The sequence below is a fragment of the Homo sapiens genome, chromosome 15 (genome assembly GCF_000001405.40).
Source record: "Homo sapiens chromosome 15, GRCh38.p14 Primary Assembly".
NCBI lineage: Eukaryota > Metazoa > Chordata > Mammalia > Primates > Hominidae > Homo > Homo sapiens.
In genome coordinates this window covers 67,072,264-67,085,381 of record NC_000015.10, presented here as the reverse complement: position 1 = coordinate 67,085,381, position 13,118 = coordinate 67,072,264, and the positions used below count along the sequence as shown (strand labels likewise).

General features: G+C 45.7%; 1 protein-coding gene across 4 annotated transcripts in view, besides 3 other annotated features; it reads right to left on the bottom strand.

Moving 5' to 3' along the window:
- SMAD3 (SMAD family member 3) overlaps positions 1-13,118 on the bottom strand; it is a 129,568-nt gene that overhangs the window by 109,788 nt on the left and 6,662 nt on the right. The gene's annotated exons all lie outside the window — the stretch shown is intronic.
- Positions 1,613-1,692: an enhancer, noted in NCBI's record as "active region_9620". NCBI's record gives its function as "activates an Ori minimal core promoter by ATAC-STARR-seq in GM12878 lymphoblastoid cells {active_cell/tissue: GM12878}" and the evidence as "EXISTENCE:reporter gene assay evidence [ECO:0000049][PMID:35858748]".
- Positions 2,163-2,282: an enhancer, noted in NCBI's record as "active region_9619". NCBI's record gives its function as "activates an Ori minimal core promoter by ATAC-STARR-seq in GM12878 lymphoblastoid cells {active_cell/tissue: GM12878}" and the evidence as "EXISTENCE:reporter gene assay evidence [ECO:0000049][PMID:35858748]".
- Positions 3,040-3,179: an enhancer, noted in NCBI's record as "active region_9618". NCBI's record gives its function as "activates an Ori minimal core promoter by ATAC-STARR-seq in GM12878 lymphoblastoid cells {active_cell/tissue: GM12878}" and the evidence as "EXISTENCE:reporter gene assay evidence [ECO:0000049][PMID:35858748]".

Sequence of the window (13,118 nt, the reverse complement as noted above, 5' to 3'; positions counted from 1 at the left end):
ACACCTTCAGTTTATAGAAGAGGAAGCCAGGGGCCAGGGCAGAAAAGTGACTCACCCAAGGTCCTGAAGCTGGTTCACAATGAGGCAGACCTAGAACCCAGGCCTGCTGCCTCTAATTCTCTCTCCTCCACACCAGAGGAGCCCCTATGGTGACAGCCGCTGGACAAAAACGGTGACAAAGGATGGGTCAGTTGTTTACTGAGCCGTATGCTTTCAGAGGCCATCCTCTAAATGCTTCACCTCTGAAATGCTCAGTCTCCTCACTGGCCTTAAAACAACTGAGGGCAAATATAGCCAAGATAGTGCTTCTCTTTAAAGATTCCCGAGCATCCTAGTCGATCATAATCCTCAAAGAATATACTTTCCGGCTGTCTGAGGTTCATGAAAAAAGCCATTAGCACAGAGTCTAACCCAGGTTTGAAAGGGCACTCTGTTGAGCAGCAGGTCTGAGGGACTGAAGCCAGCAGTAGATTCTAGTTTCTTACGGATAAGAGAGAGCTGATTGTTGGTTTCCACATCTCTAACCAACCTGTGAACACGTTTCCCTTCCTTCCTGTATTTTTATGGCACTACGGTTGGAATGCAGCCGGTGCCTAGAAGCACAGAAAACCTGTGCTTCAGGCTAAATTTGAATTCCTCTTTGCCTGCAGACTGATTTCCCCTACCCTGGGAGTCGGTTCTCAGGGGAGGTCTCATTTCACCCTGGGACGCTCCATGAGGGCAGAGCTATGTGTGACCATCCTCATCAGCAACGCATTGCAGCTCCTGGACCACTGTGTCTGATGGCACCACCACCAACAAAAGAAGCTCAGTAAATATGTGATGAATTAAACAACAATGATAATACAATTAAATAGGTCATTAAGGAATGGTTCCCCTCTGAAGGCAGAGCATCAGATGAAAACTTAGATTTGTCCCCCAGGAAAATATATGCATTGAGAAAACAGCCAAAGGCAAGAAGCCAAGGAGAGTTCAGAGGGCTATCATGAAAATCTGAGACTGGCCAGGCACGGTGGCTCATGCCTGTAATCCCAGCACTTTGGGAGGCCGAGGCAGGCAGATCACGAGGTCAGGAGATGGAGACCATCCTGGCTAACACAAAGAAACCCCGTCTCTACTAAAAATACAAAAAAAAAAAATTAGCCAGGTGTGGTGGCAGACGCCTGTAGTGCCAGCTACTCGGGAGGCTGAGGCAGGAGAATAGCATGAACCCCGGAGGCAGAGCTTGCAGTGAGCCGAGATCGCATCACTGCACTCCAGCCTGGGCGACAGAGCGAGACTCCATCTCAAAAAAAAAAAAAAAAAAAAAAAGAAAAAAAAAGAAAATCTGAGAACGGATACACAGATTCTTTCAGATTCTCCCTTCAAGCTTGTCATTTTGTAGAAGAGAAGACCAACACCCAGGAAGTCAAGTTGACTTCCCCAAAGTCATAAAGCCCATCTCCACCAGCAAGAGAGGCCAAGGACCCTCAACCTCACCCAGAAAACAGGATGCTAAGATCACAGTTTCTTTGGGTCTCATTTTATTTGTTCACTTGCTAATTCAACACTTTTTAGAACCTGGGGGCTCCAGTAATCATGAACATCAGAGTAGGTTGTGTGAGGAGAAAGAAGAAGAAATGGCAAACATTCAATTTCAGATATTGTAGGGATGTTCAGGTATTGTCCAGAGAGCAGCTGGAGCTGAGGGGTCCCTAGCTCTGGAGAACTGCAGATCTGGAAGATATCCCCACATTGAAAGCACACGAAACCCAGGGAGAGCAGAAGTAGTTTGAACTGCAATTCTGACTCAGCCCAGCTGGGCAGAATGATGTCCAGCATATGGTTTGATTTTCTCATCGTTGAAGTTAAAGCAGATAGCAAAAAATAAAAATAAAAAAACACAGTGGCCAAAAGATGACATTTAAAAAGATCCCTGGATCAAAGCCTTTTTGTGAGTACTGTTATTTCATCCTCCTCCTAACGGTAACCACTTCCCACATGAACCCCAGTAAGGCAACCGTGCAGCCCACAAGAGAGATAGAAATATGACCACACTTCCCTCTTATAAACAGGCGATGGTAAACATCTGAGACCACTGGTCCACAGCCGTGGTTAAACAAAGGGTTGGGGGCACCCTGGCATGGCCGTCAGGGCCTCCGTCTCCCCAACAGGCTGACGCTCTATGAGTGGTGAACTTGGACCATTAACTTCAGAACTGAGGCAAACAGAACCAGCCTCGCACTGCGGCAACTTCGTCTGGTTTCATGCCCCGGCTCACCTGGCCACTGCTTCTGGAAACTGAAGAATTTTCCAGGAAAGTAGCTGTTGGTTCCAGGCCCATGCTCAAAGGCACCTCTCTCTGCTCCACCAGGACAAGACGGCAGGAAGACAACTTACGTATTTACTGGAGTGCCCACCCCATGCCAACCCTCACCTCTTGGATCAGTAGCAGTGATAGATTCTTTTTTTAAACAATCAGAGCAAAAACTGTAACTCTTTTAATCAAGCAAGAAAAACAAGAAGACCTCAAAAAACTAATTAACTCTGAGATGTTCCCTGGGGTTCCAAGTTATCCCAGCTCCTAGATCAATAGGAAAACAAAACACGAGGCCTTGGGACAGGCTCTGTTTTCTCTGAATTGGAATGAAAGGGCACTTGCACACTTGAAGTTAGTGATTAGCTCTTTGCGACTGAAGACTCAAGGGTATTCCCTATCTGCAGAAAGTTCCGTCCGACGACGGCAAAACTTTATATAATTTGGACAGGACTTTGTTTTTAACCACTAAACATTTATAGAATTTTTATGTCTTCCTATATATATGCTTTCAGAGAAAGTTTCCAGCAGATTCAAAACAAGAGAGATGCACAAAGATACTAAACATGCAATTAAACTGCATATGGTTTTGAAGCTAGAACACAGTGAGAAACTTTAGAAAATTTCCCCTGAGGGAGGAGGCTCTCAGCGCTGTGCCCTGCCCCCACTTCAAACCCTAGGGCAAGTTGTTATCATTTTGTCAACAGGAAAATAAGACTGGTGGAGGGGTGGAGACAGAAATCGCAACTGCTTGAAACCTGAAACAACCTGGCTTGCATCACAAAATGTGTGGCCCTGGGCATGGCATTCAGAGGCCCAGACAGTCCCCCTGCTCTGTTTCTCAGGTCCTTTTGTCTCCTTGGGCCTCAATTTAACACCTCTTCCAAAGCTACCAGACTGCCACAATCTACTCAGGAGATACTCCAAACACAATTATAGCACTATCTCTCCACCTGACTGCAAGCTCCATGAGGGCAGACTTACCATCATGTCCTCAGAAGTCAGCAAGACATCATCAGTAAGTGTTCAGGAGTCTCACTTAGCGAAGGAAACCAGCAACCAACAAACATTAATCAGTAAGTTGGTGCCTAAGTAATGGCAGTTTTTGCCATTATTTTCAATGGCAAAAACTGCCATTACTTTTGCACTAACCCAAATAAAATTTACTAAGCACCTACCTCCATACTAATCACCCTGATGAGTCAAAGGAATAGCCTGGGCCCTTGACCTCGAGAGGCTTCTGAGGGTCCATTATTTCTGTCATTGACTGCATGTGATACAATACTGACCAACAAGATACCAGGAGGCTCCCGGGGAAGGTTTTCTTCCTAAAGAGACCCCCAAGGAATAGGAGCCCTTTTCTGCCCTTGGATGCAACGTTTATAGACGGTAATATCTGCAACAGTTGTGGCCACCCTTGGACCAACAGGAGACAAGCTTGAAGAGAATATGGCCAGGAGGAAAGATGTAAGGCTCCTGAGACCTTCTGATGCCTGACTTTCCTGCTTCTAGCCTTCTTAGTGGAAGTAATAAGCCCTCTTATGATTGAAGCTATTTGTTGGGTTTCAAGTCACTTTTGGCCAAAAGCATCCTGATACAGCAATGCTGGGCTCCGATACAGAATGTGGGATGGACTCACGACGGAAGGGGCCAACTGGCTTACTGCGGCACACAGGCATGAAGGACTGAGGGCCTCAGCTGGGGAAGGGAGGCTGGCAAGGGTAAGAAGAGCTGTAACTCAGGAGACTCAAAAGCCGCTTCCAGCCTTACCCACAAGATGGCCTAGTCATCCCCATGACACCAGGGCTCAGTTCCCACGATGACTATCTGATGCACTGGAGCATAAGTAATGAATACTCTCTGTCCATGCCACCCCCACACATGCCTCCGCGTGTCTGTGGGGTAGCAAAAGGGGAAATGCATCGTGTTCTATTTATAAGACCCAGCTGAGCCACAAAGGCTAACGACAGGGGCACTGTAGTATCAGCTGAAGCTCTCCAAACAGGTGCCAAGTTTGGTTTGAATTTATATTTCACATTTCTCAGGCTGAAACCGTTCCTCTCTGTCATTCCAACTGCTCTCCTTGGAGCTCACCCGACATGGCCTCGCCCACAGCAACAGTCTGGTTGGAGAGTTGAGAGAACTCAAGTCCCTCTCCAGACTTCCAATAAATTATCTGGGGCAAGAGAAGGAGGATGAGGTTTGGATGATCGCGGAAACAAACCCTGAGAGCCCAAAGCAGGAGTGAAACAGCACAGCCCTTACATGTTCTCTGCAGAATTCCGTTGGCAGGGAGGGGTTATTCGGGGCCACGTGCTTGCTCCGCAGCGGCCCTGGCACATTCCATGCACTGACCACAATCAAAGAGAAAGAAAAGGCATGCTTACTGTTATTTTTAATTCCTTCCTCAAGGCCTTCCAAAATTCTTCAGCAGGATTATCCACTAAACTTTCACCACTCCCAGCCAATAGTCCCTTTGAAGCCCAGAGCTAAAGTAAAGTGGAGAGCAGGAAAAGTCAGGTCCCAGAAGTCTCTGCTCTTGGCCATTAAATATCATCCAAGTTGCACTGGGCCTAGTGGCATCTCCCGGACTTCAAAGGGACAGGGCCTGATGATGGTGCCGACATAGTAGAGCCACGTGAATGCCCTGCCACTGCCACCCCCACCTGCTCCATACACACCTGACCTTGACCTCCACCTCCTTTCCCTTCAGTAGTAGACATCAGCATAGCCAAATGTTCCCTAACTCATACTCCAGTTAATTAAGCTCTAGTGCTAACTTTACCATGTTTTCAACATCTCGTCCAGTTTTAAAATATTACATTGCCAACTTGTTGCATGACCTTGGGCAAGTCCTTTCACTTAGAATAGCAGGACATAATTTGCACATTCCCTTCCACTTAAGCAACAGCACATGAGCTGGCGGATCCAATTCTCCATTACCTTGGTCAGGTATCAAGACCAGAGGCAGGGTGACTATTACCCAGGTTTGCCTGGACGGTCCTGATTTATGGCCAAGGACCGTAATTAATAGTGGCCATAATTAATAATGCTGCCCCTTTTCACTCTTGGAAACATCCTGGTTTGTTTGATAAATTATGTAGTCACCCTAGATTCTAGAAGGTGTAGAGCTTCAGTGGCAAATCCAGCTCCAGCCCTTAGCCTGAGACTTAAAGCAACTTACCTAAGTAATCTGAACCTTGTTTCTGTCATTTACCAAATGAGAATAATGATAGCAGTGTCATAGCTTTTTGTATGAGGACAACAATGGCCATCCTTTCTTGAGGGGCTATGGGGTAGAGCTCAGAGAACTAGGAACCAGAGACCAGAGTTAAGATTCCTGTTCTGCCACTGACCCCTCAATGCTTCAGCCTCCTCCTCTGTAAACATAAATACATAAGTACCCAGAGTACTGTAGGTAAGTAAATAAGATCAAGGAGATCACCCCCTCTGGCATACACTCAGCATGCAGTTGACACTCAGTCCATGCAACACGTACCAGGATCACCCCATGTGAGTGGGCTTAGGTGATTTGCTAACAGTCAACACTGCTGACTCGACCATCTTCTGAGTCAAATGCTTGGACATGGCCAAGAGTAACAGCTCACCTAAGCTTCTAGTACAAGGCACCAGAGCCTATGTGCCCCGAGCTCATATTCCAATATAATTTTGTGCAATATTTATGATTGTCTCTAAGGTCTCTGTGGAAATCTGGGTGTGAACTTAGAAGCCTTAACTCCCATCTCTGTCAGAAAGGGTTTTTAGCAGTATTAGTGAGTTCTACACCATAAAGAAATAATATGCGGGGGGCGAGGTGCGGTGGCTTACACCTGCAATCCCAGCAATTTGGGAGGCTGACGCGGGCAGATCACCTGAGGTCGGGAGTTCGAGACCAGCCTGACCAACATAGAAAAACCCCGTCTTTACTAAAAATACAAAATTAGCCAGGCATGGTGGTGCATGCCTGTAATCCCAGCTACTCGGGAGGCTGAGGCAGGAGAATAGCCTGAATCCGGGAAGCAGAGGTTGCCGTGAGCCAAGATCACGCCTTTGCACTCCAGCCTGGGCAACAAGAGCGAAACTCCGTCTCAAAAAAAAAAAATAATAATATGTGACATTGCAAAACATTTCACAGCTTGCAAGAAGCTTTTAATCTAAAATAAATCTAATCTGATTTAAGTAAATAACTTCAATAACATCCCTCCTTGAGGGAGGTCATTGTTTTTCCCATTTTACTGATGAGGAAAAGGAAGCTCAAATAAGTTAAACAACATGTCCACAGTCACCACCGCAGTAAGTTGGGGAGCAGGGATTTGAACCCAGGGCACTCCGCAGCAATAGGCTGCCCCTGGTCTTGCCTTCAGTTAAGAGGTTTCTAGCAATGTTTTCAAAAACAGCCCATGAAGTAGAATCAGTCCTTGGACATGAAACTCAATCTTTTAAAAACCCAGCAACTTAAACCACCACCACCACCACCAAGCTGACCCTCTAAAGGCGAGGTAAATAATAACCAATCTCTCAATGATAAAAGGAATGAAGAATACTGATTTAAACATGCTGTTTTAGTCTCTCATTAAGGAATATAATCTGTTTTCAATAAACATACATCCTGCTATGGGTCTGCAGTACTGAATTTAGGTAGTTTCCACTGATTGCAGTGTGGTCTGGAATTGGAAAGCCTGGCCTTGATTGATGATCATCAACAAAGAAATTGAAAACACTGACCAGAGACGGTCCATATGAAGGCACTGTGTCAGGCACAGGGAAGACCCAGCAGAGGCCGAGATCTAATTTGGGGGCCTGTGCTTGGGTAGACCAGGCATCTGCATGGAGGCCAGCAACACCCCACTTAGTTTCCCAAGGTATCCATATCAAAAGCCTGACATGACTCACTGGCTAATTACCTGAACGCCTGGGGTCCCTGAGCCCTCCTGGCTGAACAACATGTCTTCTCTCCTGACAGTGAACAAAACACTATCTTCAACCTGCTCCAGACATAGCCTAAAGCTGTCCACATGGTACTGTAAGGGATTATGACTCTGACCTGGATAACTCGGGCAGAAAACCTGCTGTTAACAGCCACTGGGTAAGAGGAGGAAATGAAACAAGAAACGATAGAGTGGTGGCTTTCACCGTGCCACTCCCCTGCTTTAAAATCTCCTGGACACTTACAGAGCAAGGTCCAAACACAAAGTACGAAGTTTGGCAAGCCAAAGCCCTTGACAACATCCTTCTCCAACTCCTCTCTGGCCACTCCCTCATCCACACTCTGGCCACCCTAAACTGTCTTGCCTTCCCTAGATGTCAGGCCCTTCCGCAGTCTGGTCTGTGCTCTGTGCTGCCTCCCACTCCACTCCTACACTCCTATCCATCCTTCAAGGCCCCAATTGAGTATTGCCTCCTCTGTGAAGCCTTCTGATACCTCCAGAAATAGACCTGTTCTTCCTCTAGGCTCCCAAATATTTTGTTTGACCTTCACTATAGTGTCTCTTCCACAGGCCCACCATAACTGTGGTTACTGGTGTCCCTTTTTTGCCTCTGAGCAGTTCAGAGACACAACTTCATCTCTATATCTCTGGTACTTAATAAAGATTTCCAGCAAACAAAGGCACATTCAGTGGTCCAGCTCTCTGCTCCACTTTTTGAATGAGCAGCTATAATATGTAGCACCTTCTCCCTCATCTGCATTAAATTCACTCTGGCCTGGGTTGAGGGTGAGGGAAATCAATTCCTGTGAACATCTCCAAAATGCTACCCATATAATGGTGCCACCTGGACTGGGATTCAGTTGTGGCCACGCAACTGAGCGGATGCTACAAAAATAAATACATACATACATACATACGTACATACATACATACATACAGAAATGCCTGCCCTAAGAGCAAAAATACAGAGGAAGGCCTACACACCATATGTAGTATTTAAAGACAAATCAAGGTAACAAACGGTTACACAGAATGCGTTCTATCATCCTGCCTTGACCAATACTTTAATAAGTCCAGGTTTGAGTTTAGGATTCCCTGACCTCTTGGTTTCACAATGGAATGTGGAAGCTCAGAGAGACCCAGCCCAAGATCTCAGCCCACCCCTAGCACCACCCATAACTTTCAGAGGCCTTGTGCACACCCAAGTAGAGTCCCCAGGCCACAAGTCCAAGCTCTAGCCAATTCCTTCATGCCCCTGCACCCCTTGCCCAGCCATTGGTCCCACAGGTACACATGCTGTCCATGGCCAACACAGTCTGCCCTCAAGTAAAACAGACCTGGGGAAGAGGCCCACGCAGGACTTGGAAACAGGCTCAAGACACTGATGCAGGGAACTGGAAGGGTCAGGCCTCTGAGCATGATCTGGAAAAAGGAAGTGCTTGCTCTAGATGGGCCTGTCCCTTGGCCCTACAGTCTCCTTGCCCCAGTAAGAGGAGCACAGCCAGGTGGAGGGCCAAAGCATGACTCTTGAAGCGTGAGCTCCCTCTTGCACGTATCTGAGGGCAGTCAAGGGTATAGCCACCACGTCTGGGTCATTTCAGAGCCATGAGTTTCTGGACCTGACCATTCTCACTCAACAGCCCACCTAACCAGTAAGCTAGTACTTGAGGGGGAGCCGGAAGTGCATTCCAACTTGGGCCTCAAAAAAACACCAGCAACAATAAACATCATGCACTTCCATGCACTTACGGGCAGCTATCAGTGACAGGCGCGTGAGTCACTGCGTTTCTGCTTCAGGATCTTACCCATCCCCCGCCCCAGGAGACCTGATTCATCGAAGTTTGTTTTTAGTACTATTATTTTTAGTCGACCAAACAAATTTTTAAGAATAATGATAGAGAAGGTGATGGGGGAGGGCAGAACCGCCTAAGAATATGAATTGTTTCTCTTTCAATAGCCTGCCAAGCCTTACATCAACAAGTGGCATGTCTGTATGTTCTCTGTGTGTGTTGAAGTAGATCCTTTTCCTATATCAACTGAGACTCTCCAAAGGAGAATGCTCTGTGAGCAAGTGTGTCGGGATGGGAAGGGGATCACCTATTGGAGTCGACGGACATCATCTGCCAAATTTCCCCTTGGAAAGGAAAAATGAGCGTTTACTAAGCATCTACTATGTATTATGATCGATACTGGCAAAGTACTTGATACATCTTATCTCACTTGCGTTGATTTTTTTTTTTTTTGAGACAGAGTCTCACTCTGTTGCCCAGGCTGGAGTACAATGGTGCGATCTTGGCTCACGGCAAGCTCTGGCTCCCAGGTTCAAGCAATTCTCCTGTCTCAGCCTCCTGAGTAGCTGAAATTACAGGCGCCCGCTACCATGCCCGGCTAATTTTTATATTTTTAGTAGAGCCGAGGTTTCACCATATTGGTCAGGCTGGTCTCAAACTCTTGACCTCAGGTGATCCATCCACCTTGGCCTCCCAAAGTGCTGGGATTATAGGCATGAGCCACCGTGCCCGGCCACTTGGGTTGATTTCTATGAAGTAGGTAGTTTCATCCTCATTTTACAGATGCAGAAACTGGGGCTCAATAAGTTGAAGCAAAGTACCCAAGGTCACCACATAGCTAATAACTGTCAGACTCAAACCCAAACCCATCAGACTTGAGAGGCTTTGCTCTTTCTGCCCAACTGTGCTCTTCCTGTCCTCCCCCTCTCCTGCTCCCCAGGTAATATGTGAAGAACCTGTCTGGGTAGAGACAAACAGCCACACACAAAATGTAAAGGGTTGGCACAACAAGCAGTAATTCACTCTGCCTTCCCATGGGCTGGGAGAAATTAGACCCACCTTGAGTCTGACTTCAATAAGGGTAAGAAAAAGTTTACAACCAGGAAGATTTGAAGCAAAAGGAAAAACCCAATTTCCATCACCAGTGCCTGCTTTCAGCCACTTGTAACTACTCAAAAAGTCCTTTCTGGATTCATTACTCCACATTTGGGCTTAGCCCAGAGGTGATTTTTTAAGGAAAAAATGCCTTTTGGCATTTTTGAGCAGTGACAGCGTAAAAACAGACCTTTAAAAAACACACACCCAAAAAGCATTACTATTTTCAAATGTCCAGTTGAAAAGAAAAAAAAAATGGTGACACCTCAGAGTTACAACTTGGCTTGGCAGTTTGTGATGCAACACTTAGCAGCAAAAGGGACCAGATTCATAACTCTGTAGGTTTCAAAGGCAAAGCCATACACAGTGTTTCTTAATACTGGAGTCCTACCCCATCTCTACTAAAAATACAAAAATTAGCTGGGCATGGTGGCGGGCGCCTGTAGTCCCAGCTACATGGGAGGCTGAGGCAGGAGAACTGCTTGAACCTGGGAGGCGGAGGTTGCAGTGAGCTGAGATCACGCCACTGCACTCCAGCCTGGGCGACACAGCAAGACTCCGTCTCAAAAAACAAAAAAAGAGAGAGACAGAGATAAAGAAACAAACAAACAATACAATACAATACTGGAGTCCTAAACTACCGGCAAAGCACTCAAGAGAAAAACTTGCCAGATGTAAGCTGGGAGAGCCATGTGATACTGAAAAAGAACTATTTAGGAGGAAACTCACTTTTCATTTCCTAGTTGGGGTTTAAACTTGCAACATCCACGCTGCCTAACAAAAGGCTCATGCTTACGCAATCAAGTGCAGCCTTTCTTTATATAGATGCTTGGAAATAAATAAAGGAAGCTTCCTGGGTAAACTTTGACATATGAGCAAACATTTTCCACAGGTATCCTCTATAATGCCTACCTCTTACATTTAACCATTTTTAGGCATCTGTGGTCATTAGTTTAAGTAAACTTCCTGTTCTTAGAATAGTCAAAAATAGCAACAAAAGAAGAAAAACTGTTCACTGCATCTCAAGAGGCACAGCCTCCACATCTTCATCCTAGCATTATTTTCATATTCCTTTGTAGTTAAATTTCACTGATTTAGACTCACAGAGTAAGGAAGAGGCAAGGAAGAGGGAGGGAAATCACCAAAATTAAAGGCTGAATTACAATTTTATTATTTTTACTTATGTAAATTAATTGACACCAGGCTGATAGAGTCTTGGAACATCAATAATTAAGAAAGATCTGTCATTCACTGATCAACTAGATGCGTGCAACTGGGAGCTTTTAAAATGTTTGTATGTGGCCGGGCGCGGTGGCTCAGGCCTGGAATCCCAGCACTTTGGGAGGCCGAGGCGGGCAGATCACTTGAGGCCAGGAGTTGGAGACCAGCCTGGCCAACATGGCGAAACTGGTCTCTGATAAAAATACAAAATTAGCCGGGTGTGGTGGCACATGCCTGTAATCCCAGCTACTCAGAAGGCTGAGGCAGGACAATCACTTGAACCTGGGAAGCGGAGGTTGCAGTGAGGCAAGACCGCGCCATTGCACTTTAGCCTGGGCAACAAGAGCGAAACTCCATCTCAAAAAATAAAATAAAATAAAATAAAATGCTTGTATGAATACCAATTCCAAGTTAGAAAGGCCCTCCAATAGAGTTTATCTAGCCTATTTTCCAGTTGAGAACATTCGAGGCCCAAAGAAGGTGACTTGTCCCAGGTCACACAGCTAATCAGAAACAGAGCCACGTCTAGAACCTACCAAGGTCTGCTGACTCCTACCTCCAAAATAATCCCCAAACTCTTGTTTATTAATTTTTCTTTGACAGCATTTATGGGGCAAAAAGGCCTGCTAAACAAACTTTTGCCTAGTCCAGAATTAGCCAAACTTCTTAATTAATAGGCTTCTACTGTGTTTTCATTTTAAACTGAGTCTCTGCCAAAACATTCTACAGCAGTTGCCACTGTGGCAGGCTGCTGTTTATAGGAAGGGTCTTAGATAACCAACAGTGGATAGTATGCTATAGATTTGTTTATTTCTCAAACTGTTAAGTCGAAACAAAGGATTATGTTATACAGAGAGAAAGAGAAAGAGAGAGAGAGATCCTTGTCAAGTCAATAAACTGCAGAGCTTGGGGGATGTGGTTTGGCACCAAAAAAACAGTATTTACAAATTAGCTAAAGAGTGAACACATACAGCATTCTTACAACTCCAAAGAACCTGTGTTTCACAGCCAGTGGACTAGAAGCTACAGAAGGCACCAGGGACAGTATCTGCCTTATTCACTATTTTGTCCGCATTATCTGGCACAGAAATTAGCACCTGGTACGGCATTAAAGGAAGGCATAAAAATGAACTGGACAAGTTCTCTTGGAATTGTCTCGGTTCTAAAGCTTAGAACACAGTAAAATTAGAAACCAAACTTCTGTAGGGTGGGCTTAGGATGGCAACTTCCCACTGTTTCCAGGAACCATTGTGCTTGAAGATGGGAAGACTGAAGGCTCCATGGCTCAGGGACTTGTCAGAGGCCAACAGAAGGTCATACCCCTCCTTAGGGAGGAGTTAGTCCCATCCAACACTGCACCAGCCATTCACGTCTGCACATGGCTGGTGAACTTCCACCCCCTGCACATTCAGCAGGCTGCCATCATGAGCAGCCTTCTTGGGCAGTTCTCTTGCCAGCCAACCAACACTATGAGATGGGGATTTGGGGGAGGGAATGGAGTCTTTAAGTTTTGCTTTTGTTTTAATCAGTCAATATGGCAAAGGAGAAAAGGGCAAAAGTCAATTAGGACTATTGATGAGACTTGCTGATTAAGAAAACTGCATTCCAATCTTAGAGAACTTAATTGCAATTACAGGAAGCTGAAGGAGAGGTGAATAAAGGTGGGAGAATAAGGTTAACAGGAATGAAAGCTGATTCCAATTTGAAGCAAGCCCTGCTTGGTCTTATTTATTTCATTAAGGAGCTCACGCAGAATAATGGCTGTACTGTGCATCAAATGGCATTAAA